We start from the raw sequence: 16,966 nt of genomic DNA on the forward strand, positions 1-16,966 counted from the left end.
CCAGGAGGTGGAGGCTGAGGCTGCTGTGAGTCGTGATCGCACCACTGCAATCCAGCCTGGGCAGCAGAGTGAGACCCTGTCTTAAATTTAAGAAAGCAAAAAGCTTTGAACAGACATTTCACAAAACGAGTTATTTAAATGGCCAAAAAGCATGTTAAAAGATGCTCAATAACATCATTAGTCAGGGAAAAATGTAAATTTAAGACACAATGAGATATGACTGCAACCTATTAGTACAGCTAACATAATACTAAGTGTTGTTGAAGATGTGGAGCAACTGGAAGTCTCAAACACTGTTGGGATGAATGTAAAATGGTACAACTGCTAAAGAAAAGAGGTCATCAGTTTCTTATACAGTTCAGCACACACTCTCCATGTGACTTAGCCGTTCCATGCCCAGGTGTCTAGCCAAGATGAACATTCATATCCATAGACATGACTTGTACAGGAATGTTCATCACAGCTGTATTTGTAATGGTGGAAAACTAGAAACCGCGTAATCTGGTTACACAGGCTGCGTTACAACTTATCCCCAAAATAGAGTGGCTTGAAGCAATAGTGAGTATTTATTCTCTCTCATGGTTTCTATAGATCAGATAATCAGACAGAGCACAGAGGCAATAGCTTCTTTCTCCTCTGTAGTGTCTGAGACCTCAGCTACAAGACTCAAAGGCTGGCAGTTGGAAGCATCTGAATGTCCTTTCATTCACATGTCTGGCATTGGATGTTGGCCCTTGGCTTGGGAGACTGGCTGTGGCTGTCATCTGGAACACTTGGTCTCTCCGTGTGGCCTAGGTTTTCTCACGAAATGGTGGCTGGGTTCCAAGGGCAAGCATCCCAAGAGAGGCCATGTTGCCTTTTATGATCCAGCCTTGAAAGTTCTGCAGCATCCTTTCTGCCACTTTCTATTGGCTGAGGCAATTGCAAAGGTTCACCCAGGTTCCAGGGGAGGGAATATAGACCACCACCTCAAAATGGAGGATTGTTGGACATCACATTGTAGGAAGACCATGGGGAATGGGATATTCATTGGGCAGCCACTGCTGGGAAATGCAATCCGCTACACCACCAAATGGCCATCAGTAGGAGAATGGATGTTATGGACTGCATGTTTACATCCCTCCAAAATTCATATGTTAAAACCCTAACTCCCAATAGGATGATAGTAGAAGGTGGGGCTTAGAAGGCGATTAGGTCATGAGGCTGGAGCCCTCATGATGAGATGAGTGTTGTTATAAGAAGATACCAGAGAGGCGGAGTGGCAGTGAGCTGATATCGCGCCACTGCACTCTGGCCTGGGCAACAGGGGGAGACCCTGTCTCAAAACAAACAAACAAACAAATAAATAAAAATAAGAAGATACCAGAGAGAGCTGGCCCCCTCTCTCTGCTCTGCCATATGAGGATACAATGAGAAGATGGCTGTTTGCAAAGCATGAAAAGCACCCTCAATGGACACTGAATCTGCCAGCACTCTGATCTTACACTTCCCAGTCTCCAGAACTATGAAAAGTAAATGTGACTGAAGCTGCCCAGTCTGTGGTGTTTTATTATAGCAGCCTGAACTAAGACAATGAAGAACCAAATGTTGGCATAGCACATTTATCCAACAATATACTGGCCAATAATATGAAAGAACAACTCTTGATACACACCATATAAATGAATCTCAAAATCATTATGTTGAACAAAAGAAGCCAGACAGAACAGATATGGAGTATAATTCCAGCCAAACTGTTACATATGGTGAGAGAAATCAAACAGTGGTTGGGTCTGACAGCAATGGACATATTGACTGGAAAGAGGCATGAGATGTTCTGGAATGATGGCAGTGTTTTTTTTCTTGATCTGGGAAATGGCCCCATGTATATGTATTAATTCACAGGCAAAAATTCATGAAGGGCAAGGCGCAGTGTCTTATGCCTGTAATCCCAGCACTTTAGGAGGCCAAGGCGGGCAGATCACCTGAGGTCAGGAGTTTGAGACCAGCCTGGCCAACATGGTGAAACCCTGTCTCTACTAAAAATACAAAAATCAGCCAGGCATGGTGGCGTGTGCCTGTAGTCCCAGCTACTCAGGAGGCTGAGACAGGAAAATCACTTGAACCCAGGAGGCACAGGTTGCAGTGAGCTGAGATCGCACTATTGCACTCCAGCCTGGGTGACCGAGCAAAACTCTGTCTCAAAACAAACAAACAAAAAATTCATGAAGGTGTACACTTCAGATTTGTGCATTTTACTACAAATAAATTATACCCCAATGGAGTACTATAAAAAGGTCATAAGAGAATATTATGAATAACTTTATCTCAATAGATTTGCAAATTTAGATGAAATTGAATAATCCCTAATAAAACATAACTTACCAAAGCTGACACAATAAGAAATGGAAAATCTGAGTAGTCCTTGATCTGAATCTGTAATTTAAGACTTTCTCACAAACCTCCCTCCCATTCCCAACATTTAAAAAAAGAAATCATGTACAAAAACAAAAATTAAAAAAGACAAAATAAAAAAAGAAAAGAAAGATAAGTCATGTACAAATTTACACAAAGAGAATGGAAAAAGAGAGAACACTTTTCAATTTATTGTATAAAGCTAACATAAACCTTGCTGTACAAAACTGGCAAGGACTTTACAAGAAAGAAAAATTACAGGCTAGTCTCTCTGGAAGACCTCTAAAGGTGAATATACTATACAGGCACACCTGGTTTTATAATGCTCTATTTTATGCAATTTTCAGATATTTCTTTTTTCTTTTTTTTTTTGAGATGGAGTCTTCCTCTCTCGCCCAAGCTTGAGTGCAATGGCACAATCTCGGCTCACTGCAACTTCCGCCTCCTGGGTTCAAGTGATTCTCCTGCCTCAGCCACCTGAGTAGCTGGGATTACAGGTGTGCACCACCATGCCTGGCTAATTTTTGTTGGCCAGGCTGGTCTTGAACTCCTGACCTCAGGTGATCTGCCTGCCTCGGCCTCCCAAAGTGCTGGGATTACAGGCGTGAGCCACTGCACCCAGCCTGTTTTTTTTTTTTTTTTTTTTTTTTTTTAACAAATTGAAGGTTTGTGGCAACCCTGGGTCCAGCAAGACTATTGGCTTCATTTTCTTAACAGTGTATGTTCACTTCATGTCTCTGTATCACAATATTTCAAATGTTTTCATTATTATATGTGTTATGGTGATCTGTGATCAGTGATCTTGGATGTTATTATGGTAATTGTTTTGGCGTACCTCAAACTGCACCCATATAACAGCAAACTTAATCAATAATTGTTGTGTGTGTTCTGACTGCTGCACTGACTGGCCATTTCCCCATCTCTCTCCCTTTCCACAGGCTTCCCTCCCACCTGAGACCCAAAATACTGAATTTAGACTGATCAGTGACCCTACAATGGGCTCTAAGTGTCCAAGTGAAAGGAAGGGTCCCAGGTTTCTCCCTTTAAATCAAAAGCCAGGAATGATTAGTGAGGAATGTTGGCATGAGGAAGGCAGGTTGAAAGCCAAGGCAGACCCAAAGCTAGACCTCTTGTGCCAGACAGTCAAGGTGTGAATGCAAAGGAAAAGTTCTTGAAATAAATTAAAAGTGCTACTCCAGTGAACACACAAATGATAAGAAATCAAAAAAGTCTTATTGCTGATATGGCTAAGGTTTGAGTGTTTCGGATAGAAGATCAAACCAGCCACAGCATTCCCTTAAGCCAAAACCTAATGCAGAGCAAGGCCCTAACTCTCTTTAATTCTAGGAAGGATGAGAAAGGTGAGGAAGCTGCAGAAGAAAAGTTGGAAGCTAGCAGAGATTGGTTCATGAGGTTTAAGGAAAGAAGCCATCTCCATAACACAAAAGTACAAGGTAAGCTGGGCGCGGTGGCTCATGCCTGTAATCCCAGAACTTTGGGAGTCTGAGGCGGGCAGATCACCCGAGGTCGGGAGTTTGAGATCAGCCTGACTAAGATGGTGAAACCTCGTCTCTACTAAAAATACAAAATTAGCCTGGTGTGGTGGCACATGCCTGTAATCCCAGCTACCCGGGAGGCTGTGGCAGGAGAATCGCTTGAACCCGGGAGGTGGAGGTTGCAGTGAGCCGAGATCACGCCATTTTATTCCAGCCTGGGCAACAAGAGTGAGACTCCATCTCAAAAAAAAAAAAAAAAGTACAAAGTGAAGCTGCAAGTGCTGATGGAGAAGCTGCAGCAAGTTATCCAGAAGATCTAGCTAAGATCACCGATGAAAGTGGGTACACTAAACAACAGATTTTCAATGTAGATGGAACAGCCTTCTATTGGAACAAGATGCAACCTAGGACTTTCCTAGCTAGAGAGAAAAAGTCAATGAGTGGCTTCAAAGCTTCAAACGACAGGCTGACTTTTGTTAGGGGTTCATGCAGCTGCTGACATTTGGTTGAAGCCAGTGCTCATTTACCATTCCAAAAATCCTAGGACCCTTAAGAATTATGCTAAATCAGCCAGGTGCGGTGGCTCATGCCTGTAATCCCAGCACTTTCAGAGGCTGAGTTGGGCAGACTGCTTGAGCCCAGCAGTTCAAGACCAGCCTGGGCAACATGGCGAAACCCGTCTCTACAAAAATTACAAAAATTAGCCACGCATGGTGGTGCATGCCTGTGAAACTCCCAGCTACTCAGGAGAATGAGGTGGGAGGATCACCAGAGCCCGGGAGGTGGAGGGTACAGTCTGTGCCACTGAACCCCAGCCTGGGCCACAGAGCAAGACCCTGTGAAAAAAAACAAAAGAAAAGAATGATGCTAAATCTACTCTGCCCATGCTCTAGAAATGGAAGAACAAATCCTGGATGATAGTGTGTCTGTTTGTGGCATGGTTTACTGAATATTTTAAGCTCTCTGTTGAGACCTGCTGCTCAGAAAAAAAAAAAGATTTTTTTCAAAATATTGCAGCACAGTTCAATGACACTGAATACATCCACATTGTTGCGCAACCATCACCATGTGACTTTTTTTTTTTTTTTTTGAGATGGAGTCTCGCTCTGTTGCCCAGGCTGGAGTGCAGTGGCGCGATCTTGGCTCACTGCAACCTCCGCCTCCTGGGTTCAAGCAATTCTCTTGCTCAGCCTCCTGAGTAGCTGGGATTACAGGTGCATGCCACCATGCCTGGCTAATTTTTGTATTTTTAGTAGAGATGGCGTTTCACCATGCTGGCCAGGCTGGTCTCAAACTCCTGACCTCAAGTGATCCACCTGCCTTGGCCTCCCAGAGTGCTGGGATTACAGGTGTGAGCCACTGCGTGTGGCATGGCCCTATTTTTAAAAATTTTTAGAGACAAGATCTCTCTATGTTGCCCAGGCTGGTCTTGAACTCCTGGGCTCAAGCAATCCTGTCTCAGCCTCCCAAACTGCTGGGATTACAGGCATGAGCCACAGTGCCTGACCAGGTAAACCTATTTTTAATATTTTGACGCTGGGCACGGTGGCTCACGCCTGTAATCCTAGCACTTTGGGAGGCTGAGGTAGGTGGATCACCTGAGGTCAGCAGTTCGAAACCAGCCTGGCCAACATGGTGAAACCCCATCTCTCCTAAAAATACCAAAATTATCCAGGCATGTAGCCTGTAGTCCCAGCTACTTGGGAGGCTGAGGCAGGAGAATCGCTTGAACTTGGGAGGCAGAGGCTGCAGTGAGCCGAGCTCGTGCCATTGCACTCCAGCCTGGGTGGCAGAGGGAGACTCTGTCTCAAAATAAATAAATAATAATAATATTTTGCTTTTTCGCAACGGGTTTGCCGCCAGAACACAGGTGTCGTGAAAACTACCCCTAAAAGCCAAAATGGGAAAGGAAAAGACTCATATCAACATTGTCGTCATTGGACACGTAGATTCGGGCAAGTCCACCACTACTGGCCATCTGATCTATAAATGCGGTGGCATCGACAAAAGAACCATTGAAAAATTTGAGAAGGAGGCTGCTGAGATGGGAAAGGGCTCCTTCAAGTATGCCTGGGTCTTGGATAAACTGAAAGCTGAGCGTGAACGTGGTATCACCATTGATATCTCCTTGTGGAAATTTGAGACCAGCAAGTACTATGTGACTATCATTGATGCCCCAGGACACAGAGACTTCATCAAAAACATGATTACAGGGACATCTCAGGCTGACTGTGCTGTCCTGATTGTTGCTGCTGGTGTTGGTGAATTTGAAGCTGGTATCTCCAAGAATGGGCAGACCCGAGAGCATGCCCTTCTGGCTTACACACTGGGTGTGAAACAACTAATTGTCGGTGTTAACAAAATGGATTCCACTGAGCCACCCTACAGCCAGAAGAGATATGAGGAAATTGTTAAGGAAGTCAGCACTTACATTAAGAAAATTGGCTACAACCCCGACACAGTAGCATTTGTGCCAATTTCTGGTTGGAATGGTGACAACATGCTGGAGCCAAGTGCTAACATGCCTTGGTTCAAGGGATGGAAAGTCACCCGTAAGGATGGCAATGCCAGTGGAACCACGCTGCTTGAGGCTCTGGACTGCATCCTACCACCAACTCGCCCAACTGACAAGCCCTTGCGCCTGCCTCTCCAGGATGTCTACAAAATTGGTGGTATTGGTACTGTTCCTGTTGGCCGAGTGGAGACTGGTGTTCTCAAACCCGGTATGGTGGTCACCTTTGCTCCAGTCAACGTTACAACGGAAGTAAAATCTGTCGAAATGCACCATGAAGCTTTGAGTGAAGCTCTTCCTGGGGACAATGTGGGCTTCAAGGTCAAGAATGTGTCTGTCAAGGATGTTCGTCGTGGCAACGTTGCTGGTGACAGCAAAAATGACCCACCAATGGAAGCAGCTGGCTTCACTGCTCAGGTGATTATCCTGAACCATCCAGGCCAAATAAGCGCCGGCTATGCCCCTGTATTGGATTGCCACATGGCTCACATTGCATGCAAGTTTGCTGAGCTGAAGGAAAAGATTGATCGCCGTTCTGGTAAAAAGCTGGAAGATGGCCCTAAATTCTTGAAGTCTGGTGATGCTGCCATTGTTGATATGGTTCCTGGCAAGCCCATGTGTGTTGAGAGCTTCTCAGACTATCCACCTTTGGGTCGCTTTGCTGTTCGTGATATGAGACAGACAGTTGCGGTGGGTGTCATCAAAGCAGTGGACAAGAAGGCTGCTGGAGCTGGCAAGGTCACCAAGTCTGCCCAGAAAGCTCAGAAGGCTAAATGAATATTATCCCTAATACCTGCCACCCCACTCTTAATCAGTGGTGGAAGAACGGTCTCAGAACTGTTTGTTTCAATTGGCCATTTAAGTTTAGTAGTAAAAGACTGGTTAATGATAACAATGCATCGTAAAACCTTCAGAAGGAAAGGAGAATGTTTTGTGGACCACTTTGGTTTTCTTTTTTGCGTGTGGCAGTTTTAAGTTATTAGTTTTTAAAATCAGTACTTTTTAATGGAAACAACTTGACCAAAAATTTGTCACAGAAGTTTGAGACCCATTAAAAAAGTTAAATGAGAAAAAAAAATAATAATAATAATAATAATAATAATATTTTGAGAAACTGCCATACTGTTTCCACAGTGGCTGCACCATTTACATTCCTCTTTTTATGTTTTACACATCTGCTGTTTGGTGAAATTTTCTACAGAGTAGCTTTTAACTCTGAGCGCTGTACTTCCTTTGACCCTGGACTTCACGCCCAAACATCAGTAAACTGTCACAGAAGGTAGTAATAATGTGTATTCCTGGAAGCCATTTCTACATGGGATGATCAGTGATAACTATTAAATTAAATGACTGCAAGCCACACATGCAGTCCATTCAATCCAAACTAAATGCATTCCCAATTCAACTTCCCCTCAGTCAAATTCCCCAAATGCCTGTGACTGCTTCAGTGTCTCCCAACACCAGGGGACATGTGATAGAGGGCAGGTCCCATAGAAAGAGACAGCAGGCTGGCTGTGGTGGCTTACGCCTGTAACCCCAGAACTTTGGGAGACGGAGGCAGGCGGATCATCTGAGGTCAGGAGTTCGAGATGAGCCTGGCCAACATGGTGAAACCCCGTCTCTACTAAAAATACAAAAATTATCCGGGTGTGTGTGGTGGTATGCCTGTAGTTCCAGCTACTAGGGAGGCTGAGTCAGGAGAATCACTTGAACTCAGGAGGTGGAGTTTGCAGTGAGCTGAGATGGCGCCACTGCACTCCAGCCTGGGCAACAGAGCAAGACTCTGTCTCACAAAAAAAAAAAAAAAAAAAAAAAAAAAGAAAGAAAAGAAAAGAAAAGAAAGAGATAGCAGTTTAAATTGCAGTTAAAATCTTGTGTTTTCAGTTTTTATAAAAACATGCCTACGTGAATACAATGATAAGGGACCTACCAGGGCCTTCAAAAAGTACATGCACTTGAGGGAATCTGATGCTTAAATTGTATTAGCTTTATTATAAATTTCCCTTTGCCTGGTACATTTTAAAAAATATTTATTTTAGGAATATAACTCTTTATGAACAGACTTTGAAAATCAGTACTATATGTATGTAACTTAATTTTGCTTCAGAATGACGAATTGGTTAAAAGGGAGAATATCCTTTGGAACAGGTTGCCCCACTTGGAAATAAAAAGAAAATTGTGAAATATCTGCATAAACCCCATCCCCAGGTCCCCATCATTTGCCACCCAGTGTTGGAACCGTGTGGGAGTATTCTTGGACCTGGATGTGGGTGTGTGTATGGTCGGACGTGATCGGGAGCAGGCTGGTCCCCCCTGGCCCAGCACATGGCTTCCATGAGGCTCTAAGCTCCCCAAGCTGGGTTCACCTTCCGTCGCTACTTCGCCCTTTCTTCCAGGTTGTCCTGGGCACTGATGGTCACCAGGTGGCGATGTTGCCCAGGAGGACGCTCTGTTGCCATCTCATGGCCAAAATTCAACACTACACTCTTCCTCCTGCTCAGGGTGCAGGAATCCGTTCCAGACCAGGGAATACTAAATAAATACCCACTGTGTGCTTCACAGACTGACCTAGCATCCCAGGAAGGAATATTCAGATTCTGGGACCCGAAGAAAACTTTTTTTTTGAGGTGGAGTCTCGCTCTGTTGCCCAGGCTGGAGTGCAGTGGCACAATCTCAGTTCACTGCAGCCTCCGCCTCCCGAGTTCAAGCGATTCTGCTGCCTCAGCCTCCCGAGTAGCTGGTACTACAGGCGCCCGCCAACACGCCCGGCTAATTTTTTTTTTTTTTTTTTTTTTTTTTTAGTAGAGATGGGGTTTCACTATGCTGGCCAGGCTGGTCTTGAACTCCTGGCCTCCAGTGATCCGCCTTCCTCAGCCTCCCAAAGTGCTGGGATTACAGGCGTAAGCCATTACGCTCCGGTGCAAAGAAAACATTTTTGAAAGCCCTCCTTGTCTTCAGTTAGTAGAGGATCAATATCCCCCCACCCAAGCCCCATCACAGAAGGGCCTCCCCAGACAGTATTAAGTATTCAAGGCCCCAGACAGAAGTCAGGTGTGGGGGTTGTGGGGTTGCCAGAGTGTCAGGCCCCCCACCGCACGAGATTTGGCCCTGTCAATCAGCCAGTAGCCCCTTTTTTGCCTTGGGACACCTCAGCAGACAGGACAGCTGTGTGATGTTCCCCACGTCTACAATCAGGAAGCAGGGGCGGGGCTTCAGCTGGATGCTGGGGCAACTGAGGGCGGGGACTGGCAAGTCCTTAGTGCTTGAGCTGGGACCATAGGTGGCAGGGCACGGTGGCACCGGCCACCCCCTAACTTCCACACCGCTTGCCCCTGCTGCCCAGGGAGGATGTGAGCCTGTGTGGACCTAGTTGAGAACTCACTCTGTGACTTCCGGGATCTGGATGCAGCGGCTGGGGTTGGCAGGGCCCACTGCAGGGAAACGGTTAAAATGCGCTGGGCTTCGTTTTTCCCGGAAGCCCTCATTACCTGGTATTACCTTAGGTGTGGATTCCTTTATTCGCCTGCTGTCTGTCTCTGCCAATCAAATGTGAGCTCCGTGAGGGCGGAGGGGGGCGGTCCTCTCGGCTTCATCATCCGAGCCCAGCACAGGATCGGGCACATCGCGGGGAGCATTTGGTAAATGGATGTCTGAATGGCTGCTGTGAAGTGACCGGTCTTAGTTCAGGCTACTAGAACAAAAATGTCATAGACTCGGGGGCTTAAACAACAGAAATTTGTTTCTCACAGTTCTGGAGGCTGGGAAGTCCCAGGTCAAGGTGCGGGCAGATACAGGGTCTGGCGAAGGTCCTCTTCCTGGCTGGCAGGCGACCGCCTTCTTGCTGTGACCTCACACAGCAGAGTGGAGTGAGCACGCACTCTTGTCTCCTCTATGAGGGCACTAATCCCGCCACGAGGGCTCCACACTCGTGACCTCATCACCTCCCAAGGCAGCAACTCCTAATACCAGCTCAGGGAGTTAGAGTTTTAACATATAGTCTGGAGAGTGGGTGGGGACAACACTTGCTGCAATTCAGCCACCCAGGCTGCGCTGCGACATTTACACCATGTGCCCCCAGTGACGGTCAGTAACTCAAAGAGGACCCCCAGCCTGGAAATGGGTGGTCTCTGGCCCCATAGGAGGGGTAAAGAATGAAGCGGGGAGGCCTGATTTATAGTGAGTGAGCTCCAGTAACTTAAGAGAAGAAAACCTGACCTGCTTATGCCAGAAAATGTTATGACTCGGCCCTGCGCAGTGGCTCACGCCTGTAATGCCAGCATTTTGGGAGGCTGAGGCAGGTGGATCATGGGGTCAGGAGTTCGAGACCAGTCTGGCCAACATGGTGAAACCCCGTGTCTAATAAAAATACAAAAATTAGCCAGGTGAGGTGGCATCGTCCTGCAGTCCCAACTACTTGGGAGGCTGAGGCAGGATAATTGCTTGAACCTGGGAGGTGGAGGTTGCAGTGAGCCGAGATCATGCCACTGTCCTCCAGCCTAGGCAACAGAGCAAGACTCCGTCTCAAAAAGAAAAAGAAAAAAAAAAGAAAATGTTATGACCCAAAAATAAATTCTGGAAATGCTCTGGAAATTCAAGGACTCCCTGATCTGTATTCATCTCCTAAGGTGACTGTGAGAAATCGCCACACACTGGGTGACTGAAAACACAACACAAATGTGATTTTCAGAGTTCTGGAGGCCAGCAGTCCGGTAGCAAGGTGACAGTAAGATCCAATTCCGCCCCCCCCCCCGACTCACGTCACAGGAAATTAAACATTTAAGCTGAAAAAATGTTCAAACCAAGCAGGGCAGTGCCCATGCACAGAAGTGAGGCCCAACGGGCGAAGCGGACTCATCCTCCCTCCTCATGCCAACAGCAGCTCAAAGCTTCTCAATGGCAAAACTTCTACCAGGTCCTGTCTAAGGCCAAGATTCCTCCTAAAACCCAAACCATCCCCGAGGGGGCCAGCTCCTCGGTCCCTTCAGCAGGAGGGTCCCTGAGTCTGGAAAGAGGAGCTCAGCTCCAAGGGGTGGTGGTGGAAGATGCACCCTTCTGTGTCTTGTGCCAGGGGTCCCCACCTGTGGGCAGCAAGCCACCCAGGTGCCAAGGCAAGAGACCGAGGGCACAAGCTGTTCCAGTATAATAAAATATATAAAATAACAAGAGTTATACTACATATAGATCATAGATATATGTAAGTACCACTAATCATCAGTTTGTAGTAATTACTCTTTATTCAACTATTATAATAATCCTCGCTCTACAATCATAACCTAGGAAAAGCCAGGCCATACAGAGATAGGAGCTGAAGGGACATGGTGAGAAGTGACCAGAAGACAAGAGCATGAGCCCTCTGTCACACCCAGACAGGGCCACCAGAGGGCTCCTTGGTCTAGCGGTAATGCCAGCGTCTGGGAAGACGCCCGTAGCCAAGCGGACCGTGTTCTAGCAGTAGCATCAGTGCCAAGGAAAAGCACCGGCTACTTAGCAGACCGGGAAAGGGAGTCTCCCTTTCCCTGGGGGAGTTTAGAGAAGACTCTACTCCACCACCTCTTGTTGAGGGCCTGACCCGCCCACAGTTATCCGGAGGCCTAACCGTCTCCCTGTGATGCTGTGCTTCAGCGGTCATGCTCCTGGTCCGCTTTCATGTTCCATCCTGTACACCTGGCTCTGCCTTCTAGATAGCAGTAGCAAAATTAGTGAAAGCACTAAAAGTCTCTGATATGCAGAAATAATGGTGTAAGCTGTCTCCTCCCTCTCTTTCTCTCCACCTTGGCTGCCAAATAGGGAAGGGCCCCCTGTCCAGTGGACACGTGACCCACGTTACCTTACCTATCATTGGAGGTGGCTCACACTCCTTACCCTGCCCGCTTGTCTTGTATCCAATAAATAACAGCACAGGCTGGCATTCGGGGCCACTACCAGTCTCCACGTCTCAGTGGTAGTGGTCCCCCAGGCCCAGCTGTCTTTTCTTTTATCTCTCTGTCTTGTGTCTTTATTTCTACGATCTCTCGTCTCCGCACAAGGGGAGAAAAACCCACAGACCCTGTAGGGCTGGTCCCTACATCCACCCTTTCCCTGAGCAACAAACGCTGGTTGCAGCACCCAAGCGTCCTTCAGGAGCTCCGAATCTCTCCCGTGTGGAAGTGGCACATAGAGGCTGCCCCCCACCCCCAGTGTGCCCAATCCGCCCATAGGAGGTGGCTAGAGCTGTAGTGCCCTTCTGTCCAGTGGGATGAAATCTGCCACCCCACAGCAGGGCAAGATGCGAGAAGCATGCTGCGTTAGTCTGTTTTCTGCTGTTATAACAGAATATCCCAGACTGGGTAATTCCTACAGGAAAAACATTTGTTTCTTGTAGTTCTGGAAGCTGAGAAGTTCAAGGACACGGTGGCAGCATCTGCTAAGGGTCTTTGCATTCTTGCTGTGCCATAACATGGTGGAGGGCACATATGCAAGAGGGCAGGAGAGAGAGAGCCGGAGAGAGCTTGCCTCTATAACAAAGAGATAAGCAACTCACTCCCACAACAGCGACATTAATCCATGCATGAGGGCAGAGCCAACATTAATTTATTCATGAGGGCAGACAAATTAAGTTTCCAACACATGAAATTTGGGGGACATTTTCAAACCATAGCATATGCCCTGAATCCAGGCAGAGAAAGTGTCCCCTCAGTGCACAAATATTGTCACAGCTGCCTGCTCTGAATGCTGCAAGGTTTTGGAGAACGTTAAAGCTACTTCTTTTTTTTTTTTTTTTTTTTTTTTTGAGATGGAGTCTCACTCTGTCACTCAGGCTGGAGTGCAGTGGCATGATCTCTGCACACTGCAACCTCTGCCTCCTGGGATCAAGCGAGACTCCTGCCTCAGCCTCCCGAGTAGCTGAGATTACAGGCATGTGCTACCACATGTGGCTAATTTTTGTATTTTTAGTAGAGATGGGGTTTCACTATGTTGGCCAGGCTGGTCTCGAACTCCTGACCTCAAGTGATCCACCCGCCTTAGCCTCCCAAAGTGCTGGGATTACAGGCATGAGCCACCGCTCCCAGCCAAAGCTACTTTTTAACTGGGTTCCTGATCTTTCTTGGCCTGTCTCTGCTCCCAGCCTTGCCTTACTGCTCCTGCCTCTGACCTCCCGCTTTGGATCTCAGGCAGGACCAAGTCTAATCTCAAAAAGCTTGGTCTGATGCCCTGGGGTTGGTCCCTTGTCTTCCCCTCACACTCAGCCCCTCCTCACTTCCTGTGCACTAAGGGACACTCCTTGTCTGACAAGCCTTGATTTAGTGTCCCTATGACCATGCCCTGACCCGGGGCTCGATTGAAGGCTCAAATAAGACAAGTGGCCTCATTCAGTTGTTCAATAAATACTTCCTGAGCACCTGCTCGGTGCTCAGCCCCATGCAAAGCAGTGGTGACAGTGGGAAGACAGTGGTGAATAAGACAGACATGGTCCCTGTCTTCAGAAAGTTGCCACTCAAGTGGAGAAGTAAAAAAGAAAAAAAATAATAGTGCTTCCGGCTCCATGATGCAGTGGGTTTGGGGCCCCGGGCAGCGAGGATGGCACCAAACTAGTGTTTTGGGGTCAGGGAGGATTTACCAGGCAAATTGAAGTCTAAGGCAACAACCTAAAGGAGAGGAGTAGTTAGCCAGGTGGTGGGCCAGGGATGCTGGGGAGTCACTGGAGGCAGGGACAGACTGCGATCTCATTCTGGAAAGATCACTCTTGCTTCAGTAAGGAGGAAAAATACAGCAGACAAACTAGAGGGTCACTGGATTGCATGGTGGGCTCACTAAGGTTCCAGGTGGTTTGGAATCAGCTTTCCAAATTCAGAAACTCAATCTCAATACCCGGAGGTGGGAGTGCCATATTTAGCAAATTAAAAAATCACCTAGCTAAATATGAATCTCAGATAACACATATTTAGTATAAATATGCCCCAAATATTGCATGAATTCAAATTTAACTGTGTTCAATATTTTATTGGCCAACTCTACCAACAGTGACCAAGTCTTCATGACTGTCTTATGTGCACCAAACTCACAGGGATCTGATGTAAATACACCAATTTATTGATTTACAATTGCAGGCAAGGTTAAAATATACATGTTATTCAGTTTCTCCTTTCTGGAAAATGAAACAGTCAGAAGACTGGTGAACATGGAATGAGGACAAAAGGACACAAGGAAGTTTGAAAGGAAATTTCATCTCAAGGCATGGTAAATTCTGGAGAATCATCCTGGCCTCCCTACAGAGAATCCTCTTTGGTGGCAGAAAGTGCAGGTCCCCCCTGGAGAGGGCAGGTCAGGGACCACCGGGTCCTCGTGTGCAGCTCCCTGTGGAAACACGTGGTTCTTCTAGCTCAACCATCATCTGCTGGTGGTTGATTTCCCACTGTACTCTCAGGAGGTGTTCTTTCAAAGCTTTGGGGCTCCTGACCCAGCCTTCCAATTACAATACAATATATTTCACATTGAGGTTACACTTTAGAATGTATTCAGTGGGCTGAATTCATGTAGCTATTTATTCTGCCTTCTTAAACCCAAGGAGAGCAATCAGGTACTCTTCTGATTAAGAAATCACAGGCTGGGCACGGTGGCTCACGCCTGTAATCTCAGCATTTTGGGAGGCCGAGGTGGGCAGATCATGATGTCAGGAGATCGAGACCATCCTGGCCAACATGGTGAAACCCCATCTCTACTAAAAATACAAAAATTAGCTGGGCGTGGTGGCGCATGCCTATAATCCCAGCTACCCGGGAGTTTGAGGCAGGAGAATCGCTTATACCAGGGAGTCGGAGGTTGCAGTGAGCCGAGATTGTGCTACTGCATTCCAGCCTGGTGACAGAGTGAGGCTCTGTCTCAAAACAAACAAACAACAAAAAGAAATGACTTTAGGCAACATAGTGAGACCCCGTCGCCACACACACACAAATACAAAATTAGTCGGGTATGGTGGTGCACGCCTGTAGTCCCAACTACTCAGGAGGCTGAGGCAGGAGGATCACTTGAGCCCAGGAGTTCGGGGCTGCAGTGAGCCATGATCACACCACTACACTCCAGCCTGGGTGACAGAGGGAGATCGTGTCTTTCAAAAAAAAAAATCACTTCAGAAACGGGGTACCCATACCCAAGGGGTCACTTGCTCTTACTAATTTCTAGCTGTAATGCAAGTGGCATGATCATAGCTCACTGCAGCCTCCAACTCCAGGGCTCAAAGGATCCTCCTGCCTCAGCCTTTTGAGTAGTTGGGACTACTGTGGCATGCACCACCATGGCCGGCTAATTTTGTATTTTTTGGTAGAAATGGGGTCTTCCCCTGTTGCCCAGGCTGGCCTCCAACTGCTGGGCTCAACTGATCCTCCCGCCTCAGCCTCCCAAAGTGCTGGGATTACAGGCGTGAGCCACTGTGCTGGGCCATGATTCTCATCTCCCAATATTCTCAAACCCAGTCCCTTCATCTCTTGACTGGATTATGCAGTCTCGGAGCTGGTTTATCTGAACTCACTTTCTCCCCCTTTGATCTGTTCTCCACACAACAGCCAGAGAGGTCTTTCAAATGCATGAATGGGATCACTGCTCCGCATAAAACCCTTCAAGGGGCCAGGCGCGGTGGCTCACGCCTGTAATCCCAGGACTTGGGGAGGCCGAAGCAGGCGGATCATTTGAGGTCAAGAGTTCAAGACCAGCCTGGCCAACATGGTGAAACCTCGTCTCTACTAAAAATACAAAAATTAACCGGGCATGGTGGCAGGCGCCTGTAATCCCAGCTATTCGGGAGGCTGAGGCACGAGAATAGCTTGAACCCGAGGCGGAGGTTGCAGTGAGCCGAGAAAGCGCCACTGCATTCTAGCCTGGGCGACACAGCGAGATTCCTTCTCAAAAAAAGAAACCTTCAGGGGCTCTCCACGGCACTGGGAAGCAGCCAGCCCGACGGGTGGACCCTTTTCGTGGGTGCGGGTCTCTGACCTCGGTCGGCCTCGGACCTCATCTCCTCCCTGTTTGAGGGGCCACACTCCTCGCTCCGGGGCTTTGCAGCAGCCCTGGGCGCCTACCGGACAGACGCCGTTCTCCCCGCCTGGGTCTTGAGTAGGGCCCAGCACACAGTAGGCGCTTAATGTCTGCCTGCCTAACAGACGAACGCCGGATGCCCGCGTTCGGCCCCGAGCCGGCGCTTCGGGGCTTTCTGTGGAGGCGGGGCGATGGTTACAGCACAGTTCCCCCGCGCTCGCCTTTTCCACATCCACCTCCGCGAGGCCCCCCGCAAGCGCCGTTGGAAACCTAGTCCCGAGGGGGCTGCAAGAGCTTGGGAGAAGAAGCGCCAACACCGACAGAATACCAGGCCGACCCAATGCGGAAATCAATTCTCAGCCGGGACCTTTTCCCCACCAAGCAGGCGGGCCGGAAGTCTGCCTCTGGCCCGCCCCCGAGGTGTCATTGGGTGGAATACCCAGAAGAGGGCTGGGACGTGGTTAACTCTAGTTCTTTATTGGTTAAAACGTACGAAGCTGGAGGAGAAGGTGGGACCTAGCTTCCTCCGGACTTCTCATTGGCTCAAAAAAAAACT

General features: G+C 47.8%; 1 long non-coding RNA gene, 1 other non-coding gene and 1 pseudogene across 2 annotated transcripts, besides 3 other annotated features; 2 read left to right on the forward strand and 1 right to left on the reverse strand.

Moving 5' to 3' along the window:
- Positions 5,420–6,112: an enhancer, noted in NCBI's record as "H3K27ac hESC enhancer chr9:135894502-135895194 (GRCh37/hg19 assembly coordinates)". NCBI's record gives its function as "activates a minimal SCP1, AML or CMV promoter by ChIP-STARR-seq in naive H9 embryonic stem cells {active_cell/tissue: H9 hESC(naive)}" and the evidence as "EXISTENCE:reporter gene assay evidence [ECO:0000049][PMID:30033119]".
- EEF1A1P5 (eukaryotic translation elongation factor 1 alpha 1 pseudogene 5) lies at positions 5,728–7,474 on the forward strand (annotated as a pseudogene).
- Positions 6,113–6,805: an enhancer, noted in NCBI's record as "H3K27ac hESC enhancer chr9:135895195-135895887 (GRCh37/hg19 assembly coordinates)". NCBI's record gives its function as "activates a minimal SCP1, AML or CMV promoter by ChIP-STARR-seq in naive H9 embryonic stem cells {active_cell/tissue: H9 hESC(naive)}" and the evidence as "EXISTENCE:reporter gene assay evidence [ECO:0000049][PMID:30033119]".
- On the forward strand, positions 6,735–6,839 carry SNORD141A (small nucleolar RNA, C/D box 141A). The gene has a single exon (NR_132980.1). It is a non-coding gene; the product is annotated as a small nucleolar RNA, C/D box 141A (small nucleolar RNA).
- Positions 14,457–16,727, reverse strand: LOC105376306 (uncharacterized). Its single transcript, NR_135119.1, has 2 exons — positions 16,455–16,727; positions 14,457–14,736 (listed from the first exon to the last, which is right to left on the reverse strand). It is a non-coding gene; the product is annotated as an uncharacterized LOC105376306 (long non-coding RNA).
- Positions 16,483–16,732: an enhancer, noted in NCBI's record as "active region_29226". NCBI's record gives its function as "activates an Ori minimal core promoter by ATAC-STARR-seq in GM12878 lymphoblastoid cells {active_cell/tissue: GM12878}" and the evidence as "EXISTENCE:reporter gene assay evidence [ECO:0000049][PMID:35858748]".

The sequence above is a fragment of the Homo sapiens genome, chromosome 9 (genome assembly GCF_000001405.40).
Source record: "Homo sapiens chromosome 9, GRCh38.p14 Primary Assembly".
Lineage (NCBI taxonomy): Eukaryota > Metazoa > Chordata > Mammalia > Primates > Hominidae > Homo > Homo sapiens.